General features: G+C 47.1%; 1 protein-coding gene and 1 pseudogene across 2 annotated transcripts, besides 2 other annotated features; one reads left to right on the top strand and one right to left on the bottom strand.

Moving 5' to 3' along the window:
• Positions 387-17,830, bottom strand: DRC2 (dynein regulatory complex subunit 2). Of its 2 annotated transcripts, none has more exons than NM_033124.5 (8): positions 17,495-17,830; positions 16,850-17,017; positions 7,390-7,559; positions 4,855-4,993; positions 3,491-3,688; positions 3,060-3,278; positions 881-1,033; positions 387-795 (listed from the first exon to the last, which is right to left on the bottom strand). In NM_033124.5, the coding sequence occupies exons 1-8, from the start codon at positions 17,624-17,626 to the stop codon at positions 520-522; spliced, it is 1,455 nt and encodes a 484-aa protein (NP_149115.2). In that variant the 5' UTR covers positions 17,627-17,830; the 3' UTR covers positions 387-519. The 2 variants fall into 2 exon arrangements, with proteins under 2 accessions (NP_149115.2, NP_001273886.1); NM_001286957.2 differs by having other exon boundaries at positions 16,850-16,999; positions 17,517-17,830.
• Positions 17,824-17,873: a silencer, noted in NCBI's record as "silent region_4414". NCBI's record gives its function as "represses an Ori minimal core promoter by ATAC-STARR-seq in GM12878 lymphoblastoid cells {active_cell/tissue: GM12878}" and the evidence as "EXISTENCE:reporter gene assay evidence [ECO:0000049][PMID:35858748]".
• On the top strand, positions 18,145-18,595 carry RPL32P27 (ribosomal protein L32 pseudogene 27; annotated as a pseudogene).
• Positions 20,351-20,551: a silencer, noted in NCBI's record as "peak1724 fragment used in MPRA reporter construct". NCBI's record gives its function as "represses an SCP1 promoter by STARR-seq MPRAs in K562 erythroleukemia cells {active_cell/tissue: K562}" and the evidence as "EXISTENCE:reporter gene assay evidence [ECO:0000049][PMID:32103011]".

Below are 22,856 nucleotides of genomic sequence, written 5' to 3'. Positions count from 1 at the left end.
CTTATTTGCATTCTTCATCTGATATTTTCTGAGACTGCCTTTGAAAGTGGGAATGAGGTAAAGGGCTGAGGAAAAAAGCATTGTGAATTGCATCTTGCCTGGCATGGGGGTGGTTGTAGGCCCTGGATCACCTCTTCCCCTGGCCTCCTCTTGCTGTCCTAACTGACTTTAAGGACCTGGTCTTGAGTCTTCCCATAGGATCTCTAGGTCCTTAAGGTATGGGTTTTGGCTCTCATGGTGCCCTGATTCTGAGGAGGGATGCTTAATTGAGCAGTGAGCCTCCTGGTAGTTGCCTAGCTGTTCTCTCTGTTCCCTGGGACCACAGTGTTCCTAGTGTCCTCAAAGAGAACTGCTCTGTCCAATATGGAAAAGATATAAAGAGCTCATAAACTCCATGGAAATTTTTAATAGCAACATCCCTACATTTCTCAAAAAAAAAAAAAAATCTCTAGGAGTTGAAAGATTTTTTTCCTTAGATCACAGGTTGTGGAAGATCATCTGGGCTGCTTCAATTATATTTTAAGTGGTTGGATGTTGTTTATCACCTGGATGGGCTATACGTATGGACAAGGGCTGGAGTAAGTTGCTTTGATAGTTGACTATAAAGAGTGGGTTGAGCTGGCTCAGCACTTCGTCACTCACTGAGATGCCATCCAAGTACTGCTTCAGCATCTCCCGCAGCTTCCCATTGATATCTAGCAGCTGGGCTCGTCTATGTTGGAGGCTCAGTTGCTCCAGTTTCACTTTGTTGTACCTTTTCCAGAAATTCTCCATTCCTATGTAGTCCACCATCACCTGGGAGTGGAGTTACAGGGAGAAGGTGTGCAGCGAGACCCATTAGCAAATGCTGCCCAATGCCCCACCATCCCCCGGGCTTTACCTTGGTGAGCTCCTCAGTAAGCTCTTCTAGATTATTCTTCTGAATCCCCTCCTGCTCCTTAGGAGTCAATACTGATGAATAAAAAGGCAGCACTTTTTCTTCTTCGGTTTCAAATTTCCTACATATTTCAGCAAGTTTAAGGATCTTTTCACCCTATTTGAAGCGGGAAGAGAGTTTATATTAGGAAAGGGAGTGAAGAGGGAAGCTAGTGGAGTTGGTTCCCCTGTTTGAACCCAGGGAAGCTACTCATCCAAGTGGGAAACAATAGCAATAAATACATATAGCAAATGGAGGTTACCATGTAACACACACTATTCCAAGTATTTTCTTATTGTAAAATTGATTCATAGCCTGGGAAACATAGAAAGACCCCATCTCTACAAAAAATTATTTAAAAGCCAGGCATGGTAGCACATGCCTACAGTCTCAGCTACTGGGGAGGCTGAGATGGAAGGATCACTTGAGCCCAGGAGGCAGAGGCTGGAGTGAGACGAGATGGTGCCACCACACTCCAGCCTGGGCAACTGAGCGAGACCCTGTCTCAAAAAAAAAAAAAAATCATTCATTATTAATAATTCATTCCTTTAAAAAAAAAACAAACTCATTCTCTCATTCTTTTTTTTTTTTTTTTTTTTTTTTTTAAGATGGAGTTTCGCTCTTGTTGCCCAGGCTGGAGTGCAGTGGCGCGATCTCGACTCACCGCAACCTCTGCCTCCAGGGTTCAAGCGATTCTCCTGCCTCAGCTTCCCGAGTAGCTGGGATTACAGGCATGTGCCACCATGCCTGGCTAATTTTGTATTTTTAGTAGAGATGGAGTTTCTCCATGTTGGTCAGGCTGGTCTCGAACTCCCAACCTCAAGTAATCCACCTGCCTCGGCCTCCCAAAGTGTTGGGATTACAGGTGTGAGCCACTGCGCCCAGCCAAAACTCATTCATTATTAATTCTTTTTTTTTTTTTTTTTTTTTTTTTTAGACAGGGTCTTACTCTGTCACCCAGGCTGGGGTGCAGTGGTGCAATCCTGGCTCACTGCAGCCGCGATGTCCCAGGCTCAAGTGGTCCTCCCATCTCAGCTTCCCAAGTATCTGGGCTCACAGGCATGTGCCACTATGCCCAGCTTTTTTTTGGTAGAGATGGGCTCTCCCTGTGTTGCTCAGGGTGGTCTCAAACTCTTGGGCTCAAGCAATCCTCCCACCTTGGCCTCCCAAAGTGCTGGGATTACAGGCATGAGCCACCATGCCTGGCCAATTCATTTCAATTTAAAATGTAGACCAGACGCGGTGGCTCACGCCTGTAATCCCAGCACTTGAGAAGCCAAAGTGGGTGGATCGCTGAGGTCAGGAGTTCGAGAACGTCCTGGCCAACATGGTGAAACCCTGTCTCCACTAAAAATACAAAAATTAGCCGGGTGTGGTGGTGCGCACCTGTAATTCCAGCTACTCAGGAGGCTGAGGCAGGAGAATTGCTTGAACTGGGGAGGTAAAGGTTGCAGCGAGCCAAGATCATGCCACTGCACTCCAGCCGGGGCAACAGAGTGAATAAAACTTCGTCTCAAAAAAAAAAATAATTAATTAAAATGTAAGGGGGAGCTCAACGCAGTGGCTCATGCCTGTAATCCCAGCATTTTAGAAAGCCAGGGTGGGAAGATCGTCTGAGGCCAGGAGTTTGACCCAGCCTGGGCAACATGGCGAAACCCCATCTCTACAAAAAATACAAAAGTTAGCTGTGCATTGGGGAGGCTGTGGCGGGAGGAATGCTTGAGCCCAGGAGGCAGAGGTTGCAGTGAGCCAAGATGGTGCCACTGCACTCCAGCCTGGGAGACAGAGTGAGACCCTGTCTCACCAAAAAGAAAAAAAAAAAAAAGTAGGAAGGGGCTCACCAGGGTGGCTCACGCCTCTAATCCCAGCACTTTGGGAGGCCAAGGCAAGAGGACTGCTTGAGGCCAGGAGTTCATAACCATCCTGGGCAACACAGTGAGACCCCATCTGTAGAAATACATAAATAAATAAATTAATTTAATTTAATGTAAGAGGGGAGGAAACATGGAATAAAAAAGGTATTCCAAGTGTCCACTCAGCCAGGAAGCAGGAAGAAGCCCCCGCTATCCTTTCCAAATCCCTTTCACTTTGCAGGGAGGCAGGTTCCTTGACTTTATTCTGATAGTCCTCTCCCCTGTGTTACCTTATCAACAATCTTTCTCAGGGCCTTGAGGGTGGCATTACTTTCCAGGGTGAGTCTGACTAAGTTCTTCTGGGATGCTGCCCGGGCCTGAGTTCTTTGGGCCTTAAGTTTTCGCAGTTGTACAAGGACCAATTCCTTGTCATTACGGATATACCGGTTCTCATCTTCACTCTCACGGCTGTGTATCATGATCTTGCCTTTTGAAATAGTTATGGCATCCTAGAGGAACAGAGTAGATTAGGGGAAATCTACTTGACCAACTGAGGGTCTTCAGTGAGACAGGTAAAAGGGCTGCCTGGGGACTGAAATCAGAGCATATCATCTTTTCCCAACCAATGATCAGTGATGAGGCCCAGGGGAAACAAGGGGAAGCAAAAGAGGGGATAATAGAGCAGTTAAAGCAGTGAGTATTTCCAGGTGGCTACACTAACCTGTAGTTTCTGTATTTTTTTCATCTGTACTTCAATCTCTTTGGAGCTCTTCTCATCCTTCACCTGCAGGGTCTCAAAGGCAGCCTTTCGATCCTCTGTGGCATCAGTGTAATTCTTGAGTACATCCTGGAACTTTCTCCACAGATCTTCTACTCTGTTCTCCAGGTGCAGTCTTAGAAAGTGCTTCTCTTCTAAATTCTAGCAAGTGACCCCAAAATAGCAAATGTTTGGAATTACCTTATTAGTGCCCTTTCACTTCTACCAGCAATCCCACCCTCTTGAACTGTTTGTAGCATAGTTTAGTACAGAGGTCTCCCATGAAAATGCCTACACAAGACCAGGCAGATGATATAAATATGTTTTGTGGGCCGGGTGGGGCCTGTGGTGAACTGGAGAGGAAATGCTGCATTTGGGAGGAGGAGGGGCAGTCACTGAGCTCCACGTGAGCCTTGCCATTTGGAAATGTGGCCCAGTGTTGCCAGATCTTTAAATTTTTCAAGGGAAGCTGAAAATTTGGATGTTTTTGTGAAATCTCCAATTTTTAAGTGTAGGATGCTTATTCAAAAAATTGTATAAAACACTGTGGGGTAAATAAAAACAAAGAACTCCATACCCAAACCTAGGTCTGTGGGCTGGCTAAGATTGCAACCTCGAGGACAGTGGAAAGCACTTTGGATCAAGGGGCAGGAGACCTAGATTCTCCTGATTCTACCACAAACCAGCAGCATGACTTTGGCAGGTCATTTTACTTACTTGTGCCTTACTTTCTTCATCTGAAAATCACAGGGGTGAAGCCAGATGATCTCCTTGGTGCTTTTTAGCTCTAAAATGCATTCCCTTGACAATTTAGAATGGTCCTCCCTCCCAACCAATTTTCACAAAATTACAAAAAGCATTAGGGATACCTACAGGGGGCAATAGATGTTTTATTGACTGTGTTGGCTAAAGGGGTCTCTTCTACTTCTAGTAGCCTTGAGCATTTTTCTTTTTTTCTTTTTTTAATTTTTTTGAGACAGGGTCTCGCTCTGTCACCCAGGCTGGAGGGCAGTGTTGCTATCACAGTTCACTACAGCCTCCATCTTCTGGGCTCAAGCGATCATCCTACCTCAGCCTCTTAAGTAGCTTGGACCATAGGCACACACTACCACGCCTGGCTATTTTCTTTCTTTTTTGGGGGGGCCGGTAGAGATGGGGGGGACTCCCTATGTTGCCCAGGCTAGTCTTGAACTCCCAGTCTCAAGTGATCCTCCTGCCTTGGCCTACCAAGGTGCTGGGATTACAGGTGTGAGCCACTGTGCCCAGCCTCCTTGAGCATTTTTCTATCACCTCCTCCCACTTCTTGCCTATCTACTCTCCCTCCGTACCATGTTTTTGAGATCATTCCACATGCTCTGGAACTCCAGCTTGCTTTCATACTCAGAATCTATATAGTTCTGCTCCATGGCCATGAAGATATCTTGCAGATAGTGAATCTCTTTCTCATGTTGGTCAATAATTGTCTTCCTGTAGGAGACAAGACACTGTCCCTGCTCTGAGGGATACAGGATATTGACCAATAATGACAATTCAAAGCAGTATGTAATCTATGTGAATGGTACAAACTCTTAGGTACTGATGGAGAAAAGAGAGAGGGAAGGCTTTACTCTTTTTAGGGCTAGAAAGAATGAGTAAGGTTATTTTATTTTGATTTCTGAATGGGTAATACATTCATGTGATACAAAAAAAGTACAAAAGGTTACAGTGAGAAGTCTCTCTCCCATCCCTGTTCCCTGCCAAATGGGTAGGATTTTGATAGTTGAAAGTGGGTAGTTGGTCCCTCTCCCTCTCCCTCTCCCTCTCCCCATGGTCTCCCTCTCCCCATGGTCTCCCTCTCCCTCTCTTTCCACGGTCTCCCTCTCATGCCGAGCCGAAGCTGGACTATACTGCTGCCATCTCGGCTCACTGCAACCTCCCTGCCTGATTCTCCTGCCTCAGCCTGCCGAGTGCCTGCGATTGCAGGCGCGCGCCTCCACGCCTGACTGGTTTTCGTATTTTTTTGGTGGAGACGGGGTTTCGCTGTGTTGGCCGGGCTGGTCTCCAGCTCCTAACCGCGAGTGATCCGCCAGCCTCGGCCTCCCGAGGTGCCGGGATTGCAGACGGAGTCTGGTTCACTCAGTGCTCAATGGCGCCCAGGCTGGAGTGCAGTGGCGTGATCTCGGCTCGCTACAACCTCCACCTCCCAGCCGCCTGCCTTGGCCTCCCGAAGTGCCGAGATTGCAGCCTCTGCCCGGCCGCCACCCCGTCTGGGAAGTGAGGAGCGTCTCTGCCTGGCCGCCCATCGTCTGGGATGTGAGGAGCCCCTCTGCCTGGCTGCCCAGTCTGGAAAGTGAGGAGCGTCTCTGCCTGGCCGCCATCCCATCTGGGAAGTGAGGAGCGCCTCTTCCCGGCCGCCATCACATCTAGGAAGTGAGGAGCGTCTCTGCCCGGCCGCCCATCGTCTGGGATGTGGGGAGTGCCTCTGCCCCGCCGCCCTGTCTGGGATGTGAGGAGCGCCTCTGCCCGGCCGCCACCCCGTCTGGGAGGTGAGGAGCGTCTCTGCCCAGCCGCCCCGTCTGAGAAGTGAGGAGACCCTCCGCCCGGCAGCTGCCCCGTCTGAGAAGTGAGGAGCCTCTCCGCCCGGCAGCCACCCCGTCCGGGAGGGAGGTGGGGGGGTCAGCCCCCCGCCCGGCCAGCCGCCCCATCCGGGAGGTGAGGGGTGCCTCTGCCCGGCCGCCCCTACTGGGAAGTGAGGAGCCCCTCTGCCCGGCCGCCCCTACTGGGAAGTGAGGAGCCCCTCTGCCCGGCCACCACCCCGTCTGGGAGGTGTGCCCAACAGCTCATTGAGAACGGGCCAGGATGACAATGGCGGCTTTGCGGAATAGAAAGGGGGGAAAGGTGGGGAAAAGATTGAGAAATCGGATGGTTGCCGTGTCTGTGTAGAAAGAAGTAGACATGGGAGACTTTTCATTTTGTTCTGTACTAAGAAAAATTCTTCTGCCTTGGGATCCTGTTGATCTGTGACCTTACCCCCAACCCTGTGCTCTCTGAAACATGTGCTGTGTCCACTCAGAGTTAAGTGGATTAAGGGCGGTGCAAGATGTGCTTTGTTAAACAGATGCTTGAAGGCAGCATGCTCATTAAGAGTCATCACCACTCCCTAATCTCAAGTACCCAGGGACACAAACGCTGTGGAAGGCCGCAGGGTCCTCTGCCTAGGAAAACCAGAGACCTTTGTTCACTTGTTTATCTGCTGACCTTCCCTCCACTATTGTCCTGTGACCCTGCCAAATCCCCCTCTGTGAGAAACACCCAAGAATGATCAATAAAAAAAAAAAAAAAAGAAAGAAAGTGGGTAGTTGGTAAAAGGAATTTGAGGAGTTAAATTTAAAAAGAAGAAAAAAAAGTTATTTAAAAAAGTAAAACAATAACATAGCCAGGTGTGGTGGCACGCACCTGTAATCCCAGCTACTGGGGACACTGAGGCAGGAAAATTGCTTGAACCCGGGAGGCAGAGGTTGCAGTGAGCTGAGATCGTGCCACTGCATGTCAGCCTGGACAACAGAGCGACACTCCGTCTTGAAAAAACAAAACAAAATAAAAAAATAAAACAATAAAGAAAAAAATAGTGAAAGAAAAAAAAAGAAGAAAGTGGGTGGTGAAGGTACACAGACAGGGACCTGACGTGAGTAAAGGGAAGCTAGAGCTGCAAACTTAAGCCCGAGTTTGTTTAAAAGGAACCAAGATATTCTCTGCTGGGGGTCCCGTGATAATCAATGTGGGATGCTCCAAGATACTAGCCACTTGCTTACAGGCAACTCCTTGACACGGACTCTGGGCACTCCCCTGGATTCAATTCCCCATCTTCTCTTAGGCCCCCATACCTTTCTGTCTCAAACTCCTTGGTTAGGGCTTCCAGCTCCATGTTGTAACTTTCCTCCAGGAGACTGAGCCGGTGCCTCTGCAGGGCCAAGAGCTGGTCAACATTGTGCAAGTGGCTGCGCAGGGCATGGGCGTACTGCTCCTCGGCTTCGGACAGGTCTTTAGCTAAAGACTAGGCCAGAAAGAGAGAGTTACCATTCCAGCTGAATAGCATCTCTGTGAGAAAATAAAAATATATTCAGCTGGCAGTTTTTTCTTTGTTCCTAATGCCAATTCTTTGACTTTAAGAATGCTGGCTGTCCCCCTCACTCTTGTGTAAAGCAAGAGTGATGGCAAGGGCTGAGCAAGGTGGCTCGCATTTGTAATCCCAACACTTTGGGTAGCCAAGGTGGGAGGATTACATGAGCCTGGGAGCTCAAGACTAGCCTGGGCAACATAATGAGACCCCCCCATCTCTACAAAAACAAACAAACAAACAAAAAAACCCATAAAAATTACCCAGGCCGTAATCCCAGCTACTCACAAGGCCTGGGCAGGAGGATTGCTTAAGCCCAGGAGTTCAAAGTTGCAGTGAGCTGTGATCATGCCACTACACTCCAGCCTGGGTGACAGAACAAGACCCTGTCTCAAAAAAAAAAAAAAAAAAAAAAGACTGGGCACGGTGGCTCACACCTGTAATCCCAGCACTTTGGGAGGCCAAGGTGGGCAGATCATGAGGTCAGGAGTTCAAGACCAGCCTGACCAACATGGTGAAGCCCTGTCTCTACTAAAAATACAAAAATGCCGGGTGCGGTGGCACAAGCCTGTAATCCCAGCACTTTGGGAGGCCAAGGCGGGTGGATCATGAGGTCAGGAGTTCGAGACCAGCCTGGCCAACATAGTGAAACCCCATCTCTACTAAAAATAAGAAAAAAAAATTCCGGCCATGGTGGCAGGTGCCTGTAATCCCAGCTACTTGGGAGGCTGAGGCAAGAAGAATTGCTTGAACCTGGGAGGCAGAGGTTGCAGTGAGCCGAGATTGCACCACTGCACTCCAGCCCGGGTGACAGTGCGAGACTCGGTCTCAAAATAAATAAATAAATAAATAAATAATAAAAATACAAAAGTTAGCTGGTGTGGTGATGCGTACCTATAATCCCCGCTACTCAGGAGGCTGAGGCGGGAAAATCGCTTGAACCCGGGAGGCCAAGTTTGCATTGAGCTGAGATCACGCCACTGCACTCCAGCATGGGTGACAGAGCGAGACTCCGTCTCAAAAAAGAAAAAAAGAAGTGATAGCAAAGAGCCCCATGAAGCCAGCCAGTGTCCTGTGGATGACTAACATTTGCAGTGATGTAGCTACCACTGAAAAGAATCAGGGATTCTTGGAGAAATGGGTGCTTTGAGGCCTGATGCAGAAAATAAGTTGAACCTGGGGTATCTTTTTTTTTTTTTTTTTTTTTGAGACGGAGTCTTGCTCTGTCACCAGGCTGGAGTGCAGTGGCGCGATCTTGGCTCACTGCAACCTTGGCCTCCCAGGTTCAAACGATTCCTGCCTCAGCTTCCCAAGTAGCTGGGACTACAGATGCATGCCACCACGACCAGCTAATTTTTTACATTTTTAGTAGAGACAGGGTTTCACCATGTTGGCCAGGATGGTCTCGATCTCTTGACCTTGTGATCCACCTGGCTTGGCCTCCCAAAGTTCTGGGATTATGGGCGTGAGCCACCGCCCCTGGCAGAACCTGGGGTATCTTATCATAAAAAATAGCAAAGAAACTATAAAAGACCAAAAGGGTCATGTCAGAAGGACCCAGGAACCAACATGAAGTGCCTCACTGAGGCAGATTTTCCAAAGAAAATCACAGCAATATCTCCCATCCTACAATTCTCTGCTATGTGACCTTGCCACTCCCCATCAAAAGGTGGTGTCTCTTCTTCCAGCTCCTTGAATTTGGGCAGACCCTATGACTACATGGGTCAACAGAATATGGTGGAAGTGACACTATGCCAGTCCCAGGCATAACCCTTGGCTAGCCTGGCAGTTTCTGCTTCCCGCCCCTTAGAATGCTTGTTCTTAGGATGGTCCCTCCAGGAGCCTAACAGTCATGCTGTGAGAAGCCAAGTGCACATGAATTTTTTTTTTTTTTTTTTTTTTTGAGACGGCGTCTCGCTCTGTTGCCCAGGCTGGAGTGCTGGAGCGCAGTGGCGCGATCTTGGCTCACTGCAAGCTCCCTCTCCCGGGTTCACGCCATTCTCCTGCCTCAGCCTCCTGAGTAGCTGGGACTACAGGAGCCCGCCACTATGGCCAGCTAATTTTTTTATTTTTTAGTAGAGAGATGGAGTCTCACTCTGTCGCCCAGGCTGGAGTGCAGTGGTGCGATCTTGGCTCATTGCAACCTCCTCCCCACAGGTTCAAGTGATTCTCCTGCCTCAGCCTCCCACAGTAGCTGGGATTACAGGCACACACCACCACACCTGGCTAATTTTTTATATTTTTTAGTAGAGATGAGATTTCACCATGTTGGTCAGGCTGGTCTCAAACTCCTGACCTCGTGATCCGCCATCCTCGGCCTCCTAAAGTGCTGGGATTACAGGTGTGAGCCACCGTGCCCAGCCAGAAGTTTTTTTTTTTAAATCAGTTATCACTGGAGGATACCAGACAACCAATTTTTTTTAAAACTGGTAAATAAAGGCAAGAGAAAGAATCAAGCATTTATCTTGCCTTTCCTATATAGCTCTGAGTAATTGAATAGAAAATGAGGGGAAGTATCTCTTTTCAGAAATACTCAAGCTAATGAACAAAAAATGAATAATACTATTAGGAAATCAGGCCAGGCACAGTGGCTCACACCTGTAATCCCAGATCTTTGGGAGGCTGAGGCAGGAAGATCATCTGAAGCAAGGGTTTGAGGCCAAGAGTTTGAGACTAACCTGGGCAACAGAGTGAGGCCACCATCTCTATTTCTTTTTCTCTTTTTTTTTTCTTACCGGATCACTACATCCAGACCCCATCTCTATTTCTATTTCTTTTTCTTTTGAGTCAGGGTCTTGTCCTGTCACCCAGGCTGGGGTCAGGTGGCATGATCACAGCTCACTGCAGCCTCAACCTCCCAGGCTCAATTGATCCCCCACCTCAGCCCCCTGAGTAGCTGGGACTACAGGCACACATCACCATGCCCAGCTAATTTTTAAGTTTTTTTGTAGACAGGTTTTTGCCATGTTGCCCAGGCTGGTCTCAAACTCCTGGGCTCAAAGGATCTGCCGCCTCAGCCTCCCAAAGTGTTGGGATTACAAGCATGAACCACTGTGCCTGGCCCCATCTCTATTTCTAAAATAAAATTTAAACATTTTTAAAATAAGCATTTTTGCATCTCCCAATGATTTAATGGATCAACAGCTGCTAACATCACAAAAAGAGAGCTAGACAATATGTGCCTCTTGATACAACATCGCTAAGCATCTAAATCCAGTTACCAAAATAAAAATACAGAGGAGAAAGTAATGTGTTAAACTGCAATACAGAATACTATGCGGTTGTAAAATAAGAAGCTCTTTATGGGAAAATATGGAACAATCTCTTACATATATGAGCACAATCTTGGCTCACTGCAACCTCTGCTTCCCAGGCTCAGGTGATCCTCCTACCTCAGCCTCCCCAGTAGCTGGGACTATAGGCACATACCACCATGCCCGGCTAATTTACATATTCTTAGTAGAGACAGGGTTTTACCATGTTGCCCAGGCCGATCTCGAACTCCTAGGCTCAAGCGATCCGCCTGCATTGGCCTCCCAAAGTGCTGGGATTTCAGGCATGAGCCACTGTGCCCGGCCTCCAAGATATATTATTAAGTGAAAAAAGCAAGGTGCAGAATAGTATATAATAAGATCATTTATGTAAAAAAAGAAAAAAGTTTCCTTATGAAACTAGAATTATTGGAAGGAACACTGGGTACCTGGAAGGCACTGGTGGGGAGGAACTTTTCTCTATATAACCTTTTTTTCTTTTGAATTTTGAATAATGTGAGTGTATTACCTTCAAAAAAGTAAAACAAGATTAAACAGAAAAGCATTTACAGAATTGCCCACATGATCCAGGCACCTTGAGTCCACTCACTGTAAACTACCATGACCTCTACACAGAGATAGCTTTTACCTTATATGTTTACAATGATAAAAGGATCTTATGAAATAGGTTCTGATAATGGAAGACTATTCACTCACTCAACAAATGTTTACCTAACCCCTGCTATGTACCAGCACTGTGCTGGATGTTGAGGATTCAGAGATAAAAAGATATGCCCACTGCTCCCAAAGGAGCTTACAGTCTAGTAGGAAGAGTTACATAAATAGAAAATCACAACATAACATGGAAATTGCTCTAAGGTTGATGATCTATTGAGTGACAATGAGATATAAAGGACTGAGTGCCTACATCTGATTAAGCACTGGGAAAGGCTTCATAAGAGCTGTCATTTGTAACAACTCTTGAAGGAGGAATGAAAGTTTGCCAGGATGGCCGGGCATGGTGGCTCACTCCTGTAATCCCAGCACTTTGGGAGGCTGAGGCAGGCGGATCACCTGAGGTCAGGAGTTCCAGACCAACCTGGCCAACATGATGAAGCCCCGTCTCTACTAAAAATACAAAAATTAGTCAGCATGGTGGCGCACACCTGTAGTCCCAGCTATGCAGGAGGCTGAGGCAGGAGGATTACTTAAACCTGGGAGGTGGAGACTGCAGTGAGCAGAGATTGCACCACCGCACTCCACCCTGGGCAACAGAGTGAGACTCCGTCTCGGGAAAAAAAAAAAAAAAAAGAGGCTGGGCGCGGTGGCTCACGCCTGTAATCCCAACATTTTGGGAGGCCGAAGTGGGCAGATCACTTGAGGTCAGGAGTTCGAGACCAGCTGGCCAACATGGCGAAACCCCGTATCTACTAAAAATACAAAAATTAGCTGAGTGTCGTGGCGCACGCCTGTAATCCCAGCTACTTGGGAGGCTGAGGCAGCAGAATCACTTGAACCCGAGAGGCGAAGGTTACAGTGAGCCAAGATCGCTCCACTGCACTCCAGCCTGGGAGACAGAATGAGACTCCGTCTCAAAAAAATAAATAAATAAAAATAAAAATAATAAGAAAGTTTGCCAGGACGACTGGAGAAGAAATGGAGATGAGAATTCCAGATACGGGGAATAGCATGTGCAAAGGCACAGGTAAGAAACAAGGCTGGCTATGAAAAGTACAGGTAGGCAGAGGCCAGGTGTGGTGGCTCACACCTGTAATACCCAGCACTTTGGGAGGCCAAGGCAGGTGGATCACCTGAAGTGGGGAGTTCGAGATCAGCCTGACCAACATAGAGAAACCCCGTCTCTACTAAAAATACCAAATTAGCTGGGCGTGGTGGCACATGCCTGTAATCCCAGCTACTTGGGAGGCTGAGGCAGAAGAATCGCTTGAACCCAGGAGGTGGAGGTTGCGGTGAGCCGAGATTGCGCCATTTCACTCCAGCCTGGGCAACAAGAGCAAAACTCCATCTCAAAAAAAAAAAAAAAAAAAAAAAGAGAAAGAAAAGTACAGGTGGGAACCAGATCATGAGGGCTTTGATGTTTTTACTATGGAGTCTGGATTTTTTCCTGTAGATGGGGGAACCACTAAGATTTAAACAGTGGAGTGACAGGATTAGATTTCTGCTTTAGAAAGATAATCCTGGTACTCATGCCTATAATCCCAGCACTTTAGGAGGCCGAGGCAGGTGGATCACCTGAGGCCAGGAGTTAGAGACCAGCCTGGCCAATGTGGTGAGACCCCATCTCTACTAAAATTGCAGAAATTAGCTGGATGTGGTGGCATGCACCTGTAATCCCAGCTACTCAGGAGGCTGAGGCAGGAGAATCACTTGAACCCGGGGGGCAGAGGTTGCAGTGAGCCAAGATTGTGCCACTGCACTCCTGCCTGGGTGACTCTGTCTAAAAATAAAATAAATAAATAAATAATAATAATAATAATAATAATAATAATAATAATAATCCTGGTAGTTCTGCAGAGAATCTAGAGGCAGTTCAATGTGAAGGGTGGAAAACAGGAAACTATTACTAATAGTGTAGGTTAGAGATGATGCCCAGGTCTCAACTACAGGAGGACAGTGGAAAAGGACAGCAGGGTATAGCTTTGAAAACTACTTTAAAGTAGACGACTTATACAACACTTAGTAACAAAGGTCAGGGATAGATGCAAAATCTAGGATGGACCGAGCCCAGTGGCTCATGCCTGTAATACTAGCACTTTGGGAGGCCGAAGTGGGAGGACTGCTTGAGGCCAGGAGTTCAAGACCAGCATGGGCAACATAACGAGACTGCATCTCTATAAAAAATTTAAAAATTTGTTAGGTGAGGTGGTATGCTCCTGTGGTCCCAGCTACTCCAGAGGGTGAGGTGGGAGGATCAGCCTGGGCAACACAGCGAGACCTTGTCTCTACTAAAAATTAAAATAATTTAAAAATTTAGCCAGTCATAGTGAGAGCCTGTAGTCCCAACTGCTCAGGTGGGAGGATCACTTGAGCCCAGGAGCTTGAGTGTAGTGAGCTATGATTGTGCTACTGCACTTCAGCCTGGACAACAAAGTGAGACTCTGTCTCAAAAAATAAAATAAAATAAAGCCAGGGTAATGTGTAAGATTGGCCCTAGAAAACTGGTTAAAGGGTGAGATGGCCAGACTCAGAAATCCGGGGAATGCTGAAGTTCAGAGGATGGAGAGAGGAAGATAAACTCACTGGAGTGACTGATTTATGTCCCAGAGGTAGGAAAAATGACAGAATGGTGTCATGCAAGCCAAAGGAGAATTTCAAGACCCAGGGCATGACCAAGAATGTCAGTGCCATAGAGAGGTTAGGTTAGATAAAGACTAAATGATGAAAAGTAGCCACAATTCTGAACCAGTGGCCTTTACCTGAGCAGTTTCCTAGAGAAGGGTAGAAATCAGATGCTGTGGGATACAGGGTAAAATGGAAGTGAAGAAGTAGAGATAGTGAGGATCACTAACATTTCCACATTTAATATGTGTAGTCTCATTCAGGAATGACCCTGAAGGTGGTTAATATTAACAGTGTGTGATTTACCTAAGCAAGAACTGTTATCATAAGCTGCAAGGCTGCTGTGTAGGAAGAAGTTAATTGTCTCGGGGTGAACCTGGCCAACTACTCAGCTTCCCTTAACCCATTCATGCCTGAGGTTGCAAATATTTTTTGTGAAAAATCAGATCTTGGCGATGACCTTGAACAGTACGAGATACATAACTCCCACAAACTTAGCATTCCAATAATGGAACACTAGGCAATGAACACTGCTGTTCTTATCAAGTGTTTTTTTGTTTTGTTTTGTTTTTTTTGAGACGGAGTCTCGCTCTGTCACCCAGGCTGGAGTGCAGTGGCACAATCTCTGCTCACTGCAAGCTCCACCTCCCGGGTTCACGCCATTCTCCCGCCTCAGCCTCCCGAGTAGCTGGGACTACAGGTGCCCGCCACCACGCCTGGCTAATTTTTTGTATTTTTAGTAGAGATGGGGTTTCACCATGTTAGCCAGGATGGTCTCGATCTCCTGACCTCGTGATCCGCCTGCCTCAGCCTCCCAAAGTGCTGGGATTACAGGCTTGAGCCACCGTGCCTGGCCCTCTTATCAAGTGTTTGATAACTTCCAATAAGTGTCTGAAAAAGCCTCTTAAAAATCCATAAGGTATGGGCTGGGCGCGGTGGCTAACGTCTGTAATCCCAGCACTTTGGGAGGCCGAGGCAGGTGGATCACCTAAGGTCAGGAGTTCCAGACCAGCCTGGCCAACATGGTGAAATCCCGTCTCCACTAAAAATACAAAAATTACCTGGGCTTGGTGGTGGGCGCCTGTAATCCCAGCTATTCAGGAGGTTGAGGCAGGAGAATCGCTTGAACCCAGGAGGCAGAGGTTGCAGTGAGCCGAGATCGCGCCACTGTACTCCAGCCTGGTGACAAGAGTGAAACTCCTCAGTGGCTGGGCGTGGTGGCTCATGCCTGTAATCCCAGCACTTTGGGAGACTGAGGCGGGCGGATCACCTGAGGTCGGGAGTTTAAGACCAGCCTAACCGACATGAAGAAACCCCATCTCTACTAAAAATACAAAATTAGTGGGCGTGGTGGCACATGCCTGTAATCCCAGCTACTCAGGAGGCTGAACTCGGGAGGCGGAGGTTGCAGTGAGCCAAGACTGCGCCATTGCACTCCAGCCTGGGCAACAGGAGTGAAACTCTGCCTCAAAAAAAAAAAAAAAAAATCCATAAGGTGTAACTGGTGGGGTATGTGGACTTCTAATGAATAATGGTTATTGCAAATTTGAGGACTCTTAATATTTATCTCTGGAAGCTGCCCAGGGTCTGCTGAGCTCTTTCCCCAGGGATTAGGCTATGAAAGAGAAATGTGTGTTTTCTAGAGGGGGAATACCATGTTGGCAATGTATATTTTGCTGTTACTGTGGGCTTTGTTTTGTTGAAAATGGAAAAGACTCTGGCTGGGTGCAGTGGCTCACGCCTGTAATCCCAGCACTTTGGGAGGCCAAGGCGGGTGGGTCACAAGGTCAGGAGATCGAGACCATCCTGGCCAACATGGTGAAACCCCCATCTCAACTAAAAATACAAAAATTAGCCAGGCATGGTGGCACATGCCTGTAGTCACAGCTACTCGGGAGGCTGAGGCAGAAGAATCACTTGAACCTGGGAGGCAGAGGTTGCACTGAGCCGAGATTGTGCCACTGCACTCCAGCCTGGCAACAGAGCAAGACTCCATGTCAAATAAATAAATAAATAAATAATGGAAAAGACTAAGGAGAAGGCAGTAAATGGAGGCAGAATATTAAAAGTAAGACAAAAGAAGGGGTACAGAAAATCCCTTAGAAGAAAAGATAGGATGGAATCAAGAACTCAAGAACCTCCCAAGAGCATAAGGATGGCTGATTGAATTGCTTAGAAATCCAGAACTGCTCTTACCCATGGAGATCTTCTCAACCTTATCCAGGGCCACTGAAGTTGAATCAAGAGGCCAAACAATTTAGTTGAATGGAGCACTGCAGTGGGAATCAATAAACACATGCTGGAGTCCTGGTTCTCTCACTGACTAGCTATGTGACCTTGGGCAAGTCAGTTCCCCTCTGGAACTGAGCCTTCTGACATTGAAATGAAGGTGTGGGACTCATTTCAAGTCACTGGGTGATGTCTACTGTGCCTTATGACTCTACTATTGGATAGTACTGGTTTTGGGCAATAGATGACAAGAAGAGTGGGTCCTCTAAGGGAGAGAGGGATGAAAGCCCAATATTCTATTTTTTATTTCTGTGAAAACCATTATTACCAATAGCCTGGCTTTCTCACAGCCTGTGTCTTGTGAGGGCTTTAAGATGGATTCACTAGGCTCATTCTATTAAGAGGTCAGGAAGCCATACTCAAGGTTTCCTTGGAAAGAGTGCCTACCTTGATGACATTGTCCTTACAGTCCACCACTCGTTCAAATGTTTGGCTGAGGATCTCAATGTCCTTATGAAGTTCTCTGGTCTTGACTTCCCGAAGGACAGTTCTCCACTGTGTGTTAATCTTATTAAGGTTCAGAGCACTGTTGTGTTCCTCCTTGGCCAGCTTGTCCTGTGTGAAGGAATAAATATACCTCCAGGAAGTCAGGGCCTTTCAGTACAACAAACAAGATCACTCTTAATTTATCAGCTGACACCTTACCCCTTTTCGATGGGAACGGCCTGATGGCATTTAGGGAGGGCAAGGGTGAATTTCCTTCAGGGTGGGAGCATCAGAGTAGGATGTTGTTTGTAATGACCTATCTCCAGGGAGAATATCAGCATTCCAGACAGCTGGAACAGCTGACAGGACCTACGGTCCCAGTTCTGGGATTCAGTAAAGATTGCCAAGCCGTATACCACGCACCCCCTCCGTGCTTCGCAGAGAACACCCCCGCCTCCCAAACAATGTTGCCTGAAATCTAAGTATATCTGGGTCTCAGGATTTCCGGAGGAGGGGAGGTCAGGATGAAAATGAGGTTTCCTCAGTGACAGGGCCAGGGCAGGGGGTGGATGGGGTTGAGCAGGACATAATGCAAAAGGCCATCACCTTCAAGAACTGGCTGAGGAGCCTCTCCTTCTTTTTGGCCATCTCCTCCTCTGCCAGCAACTTCTGCTGAAACAGAAGCAGCTGCTTCTCATCGGACAGGGGCGTCTTGGCCATTTTTTCTTTCTTAGGCATGGGGGCAGGGGATTGGATCCGGGAAAGAAGCCTCGGTCTGCCTCGGCCCGCGTTACAGAGCTTAGAAGAAAAATGTCCCTAGAAAGGGGACTTCCAGAAGTGCCCCTGGTTGTGGGCGGTTGTGGGACCGGAGATCTCAGCCCTCGAACAGGAGAGATCCCCGGCTATCAGTGAGGCTGAGCTCTCCCACTGTAAGACGCGTCTAGTCTCCTAGCAACGAGGATATCGCTAACATGGAGAGGCAACAGGCTAGAAGAGTCCCTGTCTTGGAGCGCCCCCTACCCAGTGGAGGACCGCGGTCGGTTTTTGAGAGGGTCCTTTTAACTCTCAAAAATCTGTCTCCTCAGTGCATTTTATTTATTTATTTATTTATTTATTTATTTATTTATTTATTTATTTTTGACATAGAGTCTCTCTCTGTCGCCTAGGATGGGCACGATCTCGGCTCACTGCAACCTCCGCCTCCCGGGTTCAAGCAATTCTCCTGTCTCAGCCTCCCCTCAGTGCACTTTTATAAACCGTCCTCAGAACCCTTGGGAAGCCCAAGATCGTCAAAAAGAGAACCAAGAAGTTTATCCGGCACCAGTCTGACCGATATGTCAAAATTAAGCGTAACCGGCGGAAACCCAGAGGTATTGACAACAGGGTTCGTGGAAGGTTCAAGGGTTAGATCTTGATGCCCAACATTGATTATGGGAGCAACAAGAAAACAAAGCACATGCTGCCCAGTGGCTTCCGGAAATTCCTGGTCCACACGTCAAGGAGCTGGAAGTGCTGCTGTTGTGCAACAAATCTTACTGTGCTGAGATCGCTCACAATGTTTCCTCCAAGAACCGCAAAGCCATCGTGGAAAAGAGCTGCCCAGCTGGCCGTCAGAGTCACCAACCCCAATCCCAGGCTGCGCAGCAAAGAAAATGAGTAGACAGCTCATGTGTATGTTTTCTGTTTAAATAAAACTGTAAAAACTGCAAACAACAACAACAACAAAAACCTTTTTTAAAAAGATAAGTGTTGGAGAGAATGTGGAGAAACGAGAACCCTCATATATTGGTGGTAGAAATGTAAAATGGTGTAGCCACTTTGGAAAACAGTTTGGCAATTTTTTAAAATGTTAAACATAAATTTACCATGTGACCCAATAATTTCACTCTTAGGGATCTGCCTAAGAGAAATGAAAGCATGTATACACACAAAAACTTGCACAGGAATTTTCTTATCTGTCTCACTCATAATAGCCCAGTTGGAAAAATTGGAGACAACCTAAATGTCCATTAACATGTGAATGAGTAGACAAAATATGCTATGTCCATACAATGGAATATTATTCAGAACAAACTATGGATACCAGCTACAATGTGGATGAACCTCAAAAAGAATATGCAGGCTGGGCGCTGTGCCTCACACCTGTAATCCCAGCACTTTGGGAGGCCGAGGCGGGAGGATCGTTTTAGCCCAAGAGATCGAGACTAGCTTGAGCAATGTGGCGAAACCCCTTCTCCACAAAAAATACAAAAGAAGTTAGCTGGGCGTGGTGGTGCGTACCTGTTGTCCCAGCTACCCCAGGAGGCTGAGGTGAGAAGATCACCTGAGCCCCAGAGGTCAAGCCATAGTCAAGCCACTGCACTCCAGTTGGGTGACAGAGCAGCCCTGTATCAAAAAGAAACAACAACAAAAACAAAACAAACAAACCCTTTTTTTTTTTTTAAGACTGGAGTCTCACTCTGTCACCCAGGCTGGAGTGCAGTGCGTGATCTCGGCTCACTGCAACCTCCACCGCCCGGGTTCAAGAAATTCTCCTGCCTCAGCCTCCCGAGTAGCTGGACTACAGGTGTCACCACCATGCCTGCCTAATTTTTGTATTTTTAGTAGAGACGGGGTTTCATCATCTTGGCCAGGTTGGTCTCAAACTCCTGACCTCAAATGATCCACCAACCTCGGCCTCCCAAAGTGCTGGGATTACAGGCGTGAGCCACCATGTTCGGCCAAAAAAACCCCTATGCTCAGTGAAATAAGCCAGACACAAGTGATTACATATTGTATGGTTCCATTTATATGAAATATCCGGAAAAGGCCAAGCTATAAAGACAGAAAGTAGATTACTTTCTTTTCTTCTCCCTTCCCTTCCCTTCCTTTCTTTCTCTCTTTCTCTCTCCCTCTCCCTCTCTCTCTCCTTTTTTGACTGAGTCTTTCTCTGTTGCCCAGGCTGGAGTGAGGTGGCACAGTCTCGGCTCACTGCAACCTGCACCTCCCAGGTTCAAGTGATTCTCCTGCCTCAGCTTCCCAAGTAGCTGGGATTACAGGCACCCGCTACCACACCCGGCTAATTTTTTGTATTTTTAGTAGAGATGGGGTTTCACCATGTTGGATCACCTAAGGTCGGGAGTTCGGGACCAGCCTGACCAACATGGAGAAACCCCATCGCTACTAAAAAGACAAAATTAGCTGGGCGTGGTGGCACATGCCTGTAATCCCAGCTACTCAGGAGGCTGAGGCAGGAGAATCGCTTGGACCCAGGAGGCGGAGGTTGCGGTGAGCTGAGATCGTGCCATTGCACTCCAGCCTGGGCAACAAGAGCGAAACTCCGTATTTAAAAAAAAAAAAAAAAAGCGAATTATGTGATATGCAACATGTGCCCCAATAAAGTTGTTTTAAATATGAAATATAATACATTACTCAGAACTCTCCAGAAAAACAGAACCAATAGGATGTGTGTATTTATTTATTATAAGCAATCGGTGTTATTATTGGAGGCTCAGAAGTCCCAAGATCTGCAATTAGCAACCTGGAGATTTAGGAGAACCGATGTGTAGTTCTAGACTAAAAGCCAGCCAGCTCAAGGTCCAAGAAGAGTCTGAGTTTCAGTCTGAGTCAGAAGGCCAGAAAAGACTGCCTCAGCTTAGGCAGTTAGTCAGGAGGAGCTGCTTTTACTCAGCCTTTTTGGTTTATTCATGTCTTCAATGATTGGATGAGGCTCACCCATGTTACAAGGGCAATCTGCTTTACTCAATCTACCACTAATTAATTCTCAATCCAATTCAAATATTAATCTCATCTGGAAACACCCTCACAGACAAAACCAGAATAATTTTTTTTTGTTTATTTTTCTTTAGACAGAAAACTCATTTTGTCACCCAGGCTGGAGTACAGTGATGCAATTGTAGCTCAGTGCAACCTCGAACTCCTGGACTTTAGGGATCCTCCCACCTCAGCCTTCTGAGTAGCTGGGACTACAGGTGTGCACCACCATACTCAGTGTTTTTTTTTTTTTTTAGTCATAGTCTTGCTGTTGCTGTTGTCAGCCTGGGCTGGAGTGCAATGGCATGATCTTGGCTCACTGCAACCTCCGCCTCGCAGGTTTCAGCAATTCTCCTGACTCAGCCTCCGGAGTAGCTGAGATTACAGGCATCCACCACCACGCCTAGCTAATTTTTGTATTTTTAGTAGAGACGGGGTTTCACCATGTTGGCCAGCTGGTCTCGAACTCCTGGAACTCCTAACCTCAGGTGATCCACCCACCTTGGCCTCCCAAAGTGCTGGGATTACAGGCGTGAGCCACCGTGCCCAGCCAACTATTTTTTTTTATTTTAATTTTTTTGTAGCGACTGGGTCTTGCTATGATGCCCTGGCCGGTCTTAAATTCCTGGCTTCAAGCGATCCTCCTACCTCAGCCAACCAAAGTGCTGGGATTACAGGCACAAGCTACTGTGCCTGACCTCCAGATTAATGTTTGACCAAATGTCTGGGCCCTCCGTGGCTCAGTGAGGTTGACACATAAAATTAACCATTACAGGCCGGGCGCAGTGACTAACGCCTATAATCCCAGCACTTTGGGAGGCCGAGGCGGGCGGATCACGAGGTGAAGAGATCGAGACCATCCTGGCAAACATGGTGAAACCCCTCATAAAAATATAAAAATGAGCTGGGCGTGGTGGCACACGCCTGTAGTCCCAGCTACTCTGGAGGCTAAGGCAGGAGAATTGCTGGAACCCGGGAGGCGGAGGTTGCAGTGAGCCAGAGATTGTGCCACTGCACTGCAGTTTGGCGACAGAGCAAGACTCTGTCTCAAAAAAAAAAAAAAATTAGCTGGGCATGGTGGCACACACCTGTAGTCCCAGCTACTCAGGAGGCTGGGGTGGGAGGAACACTTGAGCCTGCATTTCGAAGCTTTGCATTGATGCTGCACCCCAGCCTGGGTGACAGAGCAAGACCCGGTCTCAAAAAGAAAAATAAAACACTAATCCCTTCCTCAGAAGAGGAGGTAAAATCCTTGAGTGATGTTTACTCTTCTTCATATCCCATAACTCAGATATTATGATGCAAAATTAATAATACTTAAAACTATGACATAAAGTTAATACATCTTATGTTACATTATGAGGGAATAAAAGAGAAAAGAAAATGAAGATATTTGCTTGATATACACACACATAAACATATAAATAACAAAATGAGGAAATACTCATGGCAATCATAGTCCTAGGGTCCATAACTGGTCACGTGGTCATAGCTGGTATTAATAGCTACCGTTTTCTACTACTATCCTATTCCCTTTGCCTTCAGCAAGCACCTTAACAGGTGTTGACCTGTTTCTTTACCTGATGGACTGACTCAAAGCTTCATTTCTGAAGGGTCTGGGCCATTAGTAGTCCTGGATTGTTTTGTTCTAGTTTTCCATTGACCTTAATCACAGGTCACAGTAATACTGAGATGACCTAAGGAATCTTCCTTAGTATATCAAGGAATCTCCTTGATATGCTCATACTTACCTCCATTGTGAAGTAATATTCCAATTTTTCTTTTTCTTTTTTTTTTTTTTTTGACGGAGTCTCACTCTATCACCCAGGCTGAAGTGCAATGGTGCAATCTCAGCTCACTGCAACCTTGGTCTCCTGGGTGCAAGCGATTCTCCTGCTTCAGCCTCCTGAGTAGCTGGAAATAGAGGTGTGCGCCACCATGCCTAGCTAATTTTTGTATTTTTATTTATTTATTTATTGTTGTTGTTGTTTGTTTTTTTTTTTGAGATGGAGTCTTGCTCTGTCGCCCAGGCTGGAGTGCAGTGGTGCGATCTTGGCTCACTGCAACCTCCGCCTCCCCAGTTCAAGCCGTTTTCCTGCCTCAGCCTCCTGAGTAGCTGGGATTACAGGTGCAATGGCATGATCTCGGCTCACCGCAACCTTTGGCTTCCAGGTTCAAATGATTCTCCTGCCTCAGCCTCTTGAGTAGCTGGGAT

The sequence above is a fragment of the Homo sapiens genome, chromosome 12, assembly GCF_000001405.40.
Source record: "Homo sapiens chromosome 12, GRCh38.p14 Primary Assembly".
NCBI classification, from domain to species: domain Eukaryota; kingdom Metazoa; phylum Chordata; class Mammalia; order Primates; family Hominidae; genus Homo; species Homo sapiens.
The sequence above is the reverse complement of the archived record's forward strand: the minus strand, read 5'-3'. Positions and strand labels throughout refer to the sequence as shown.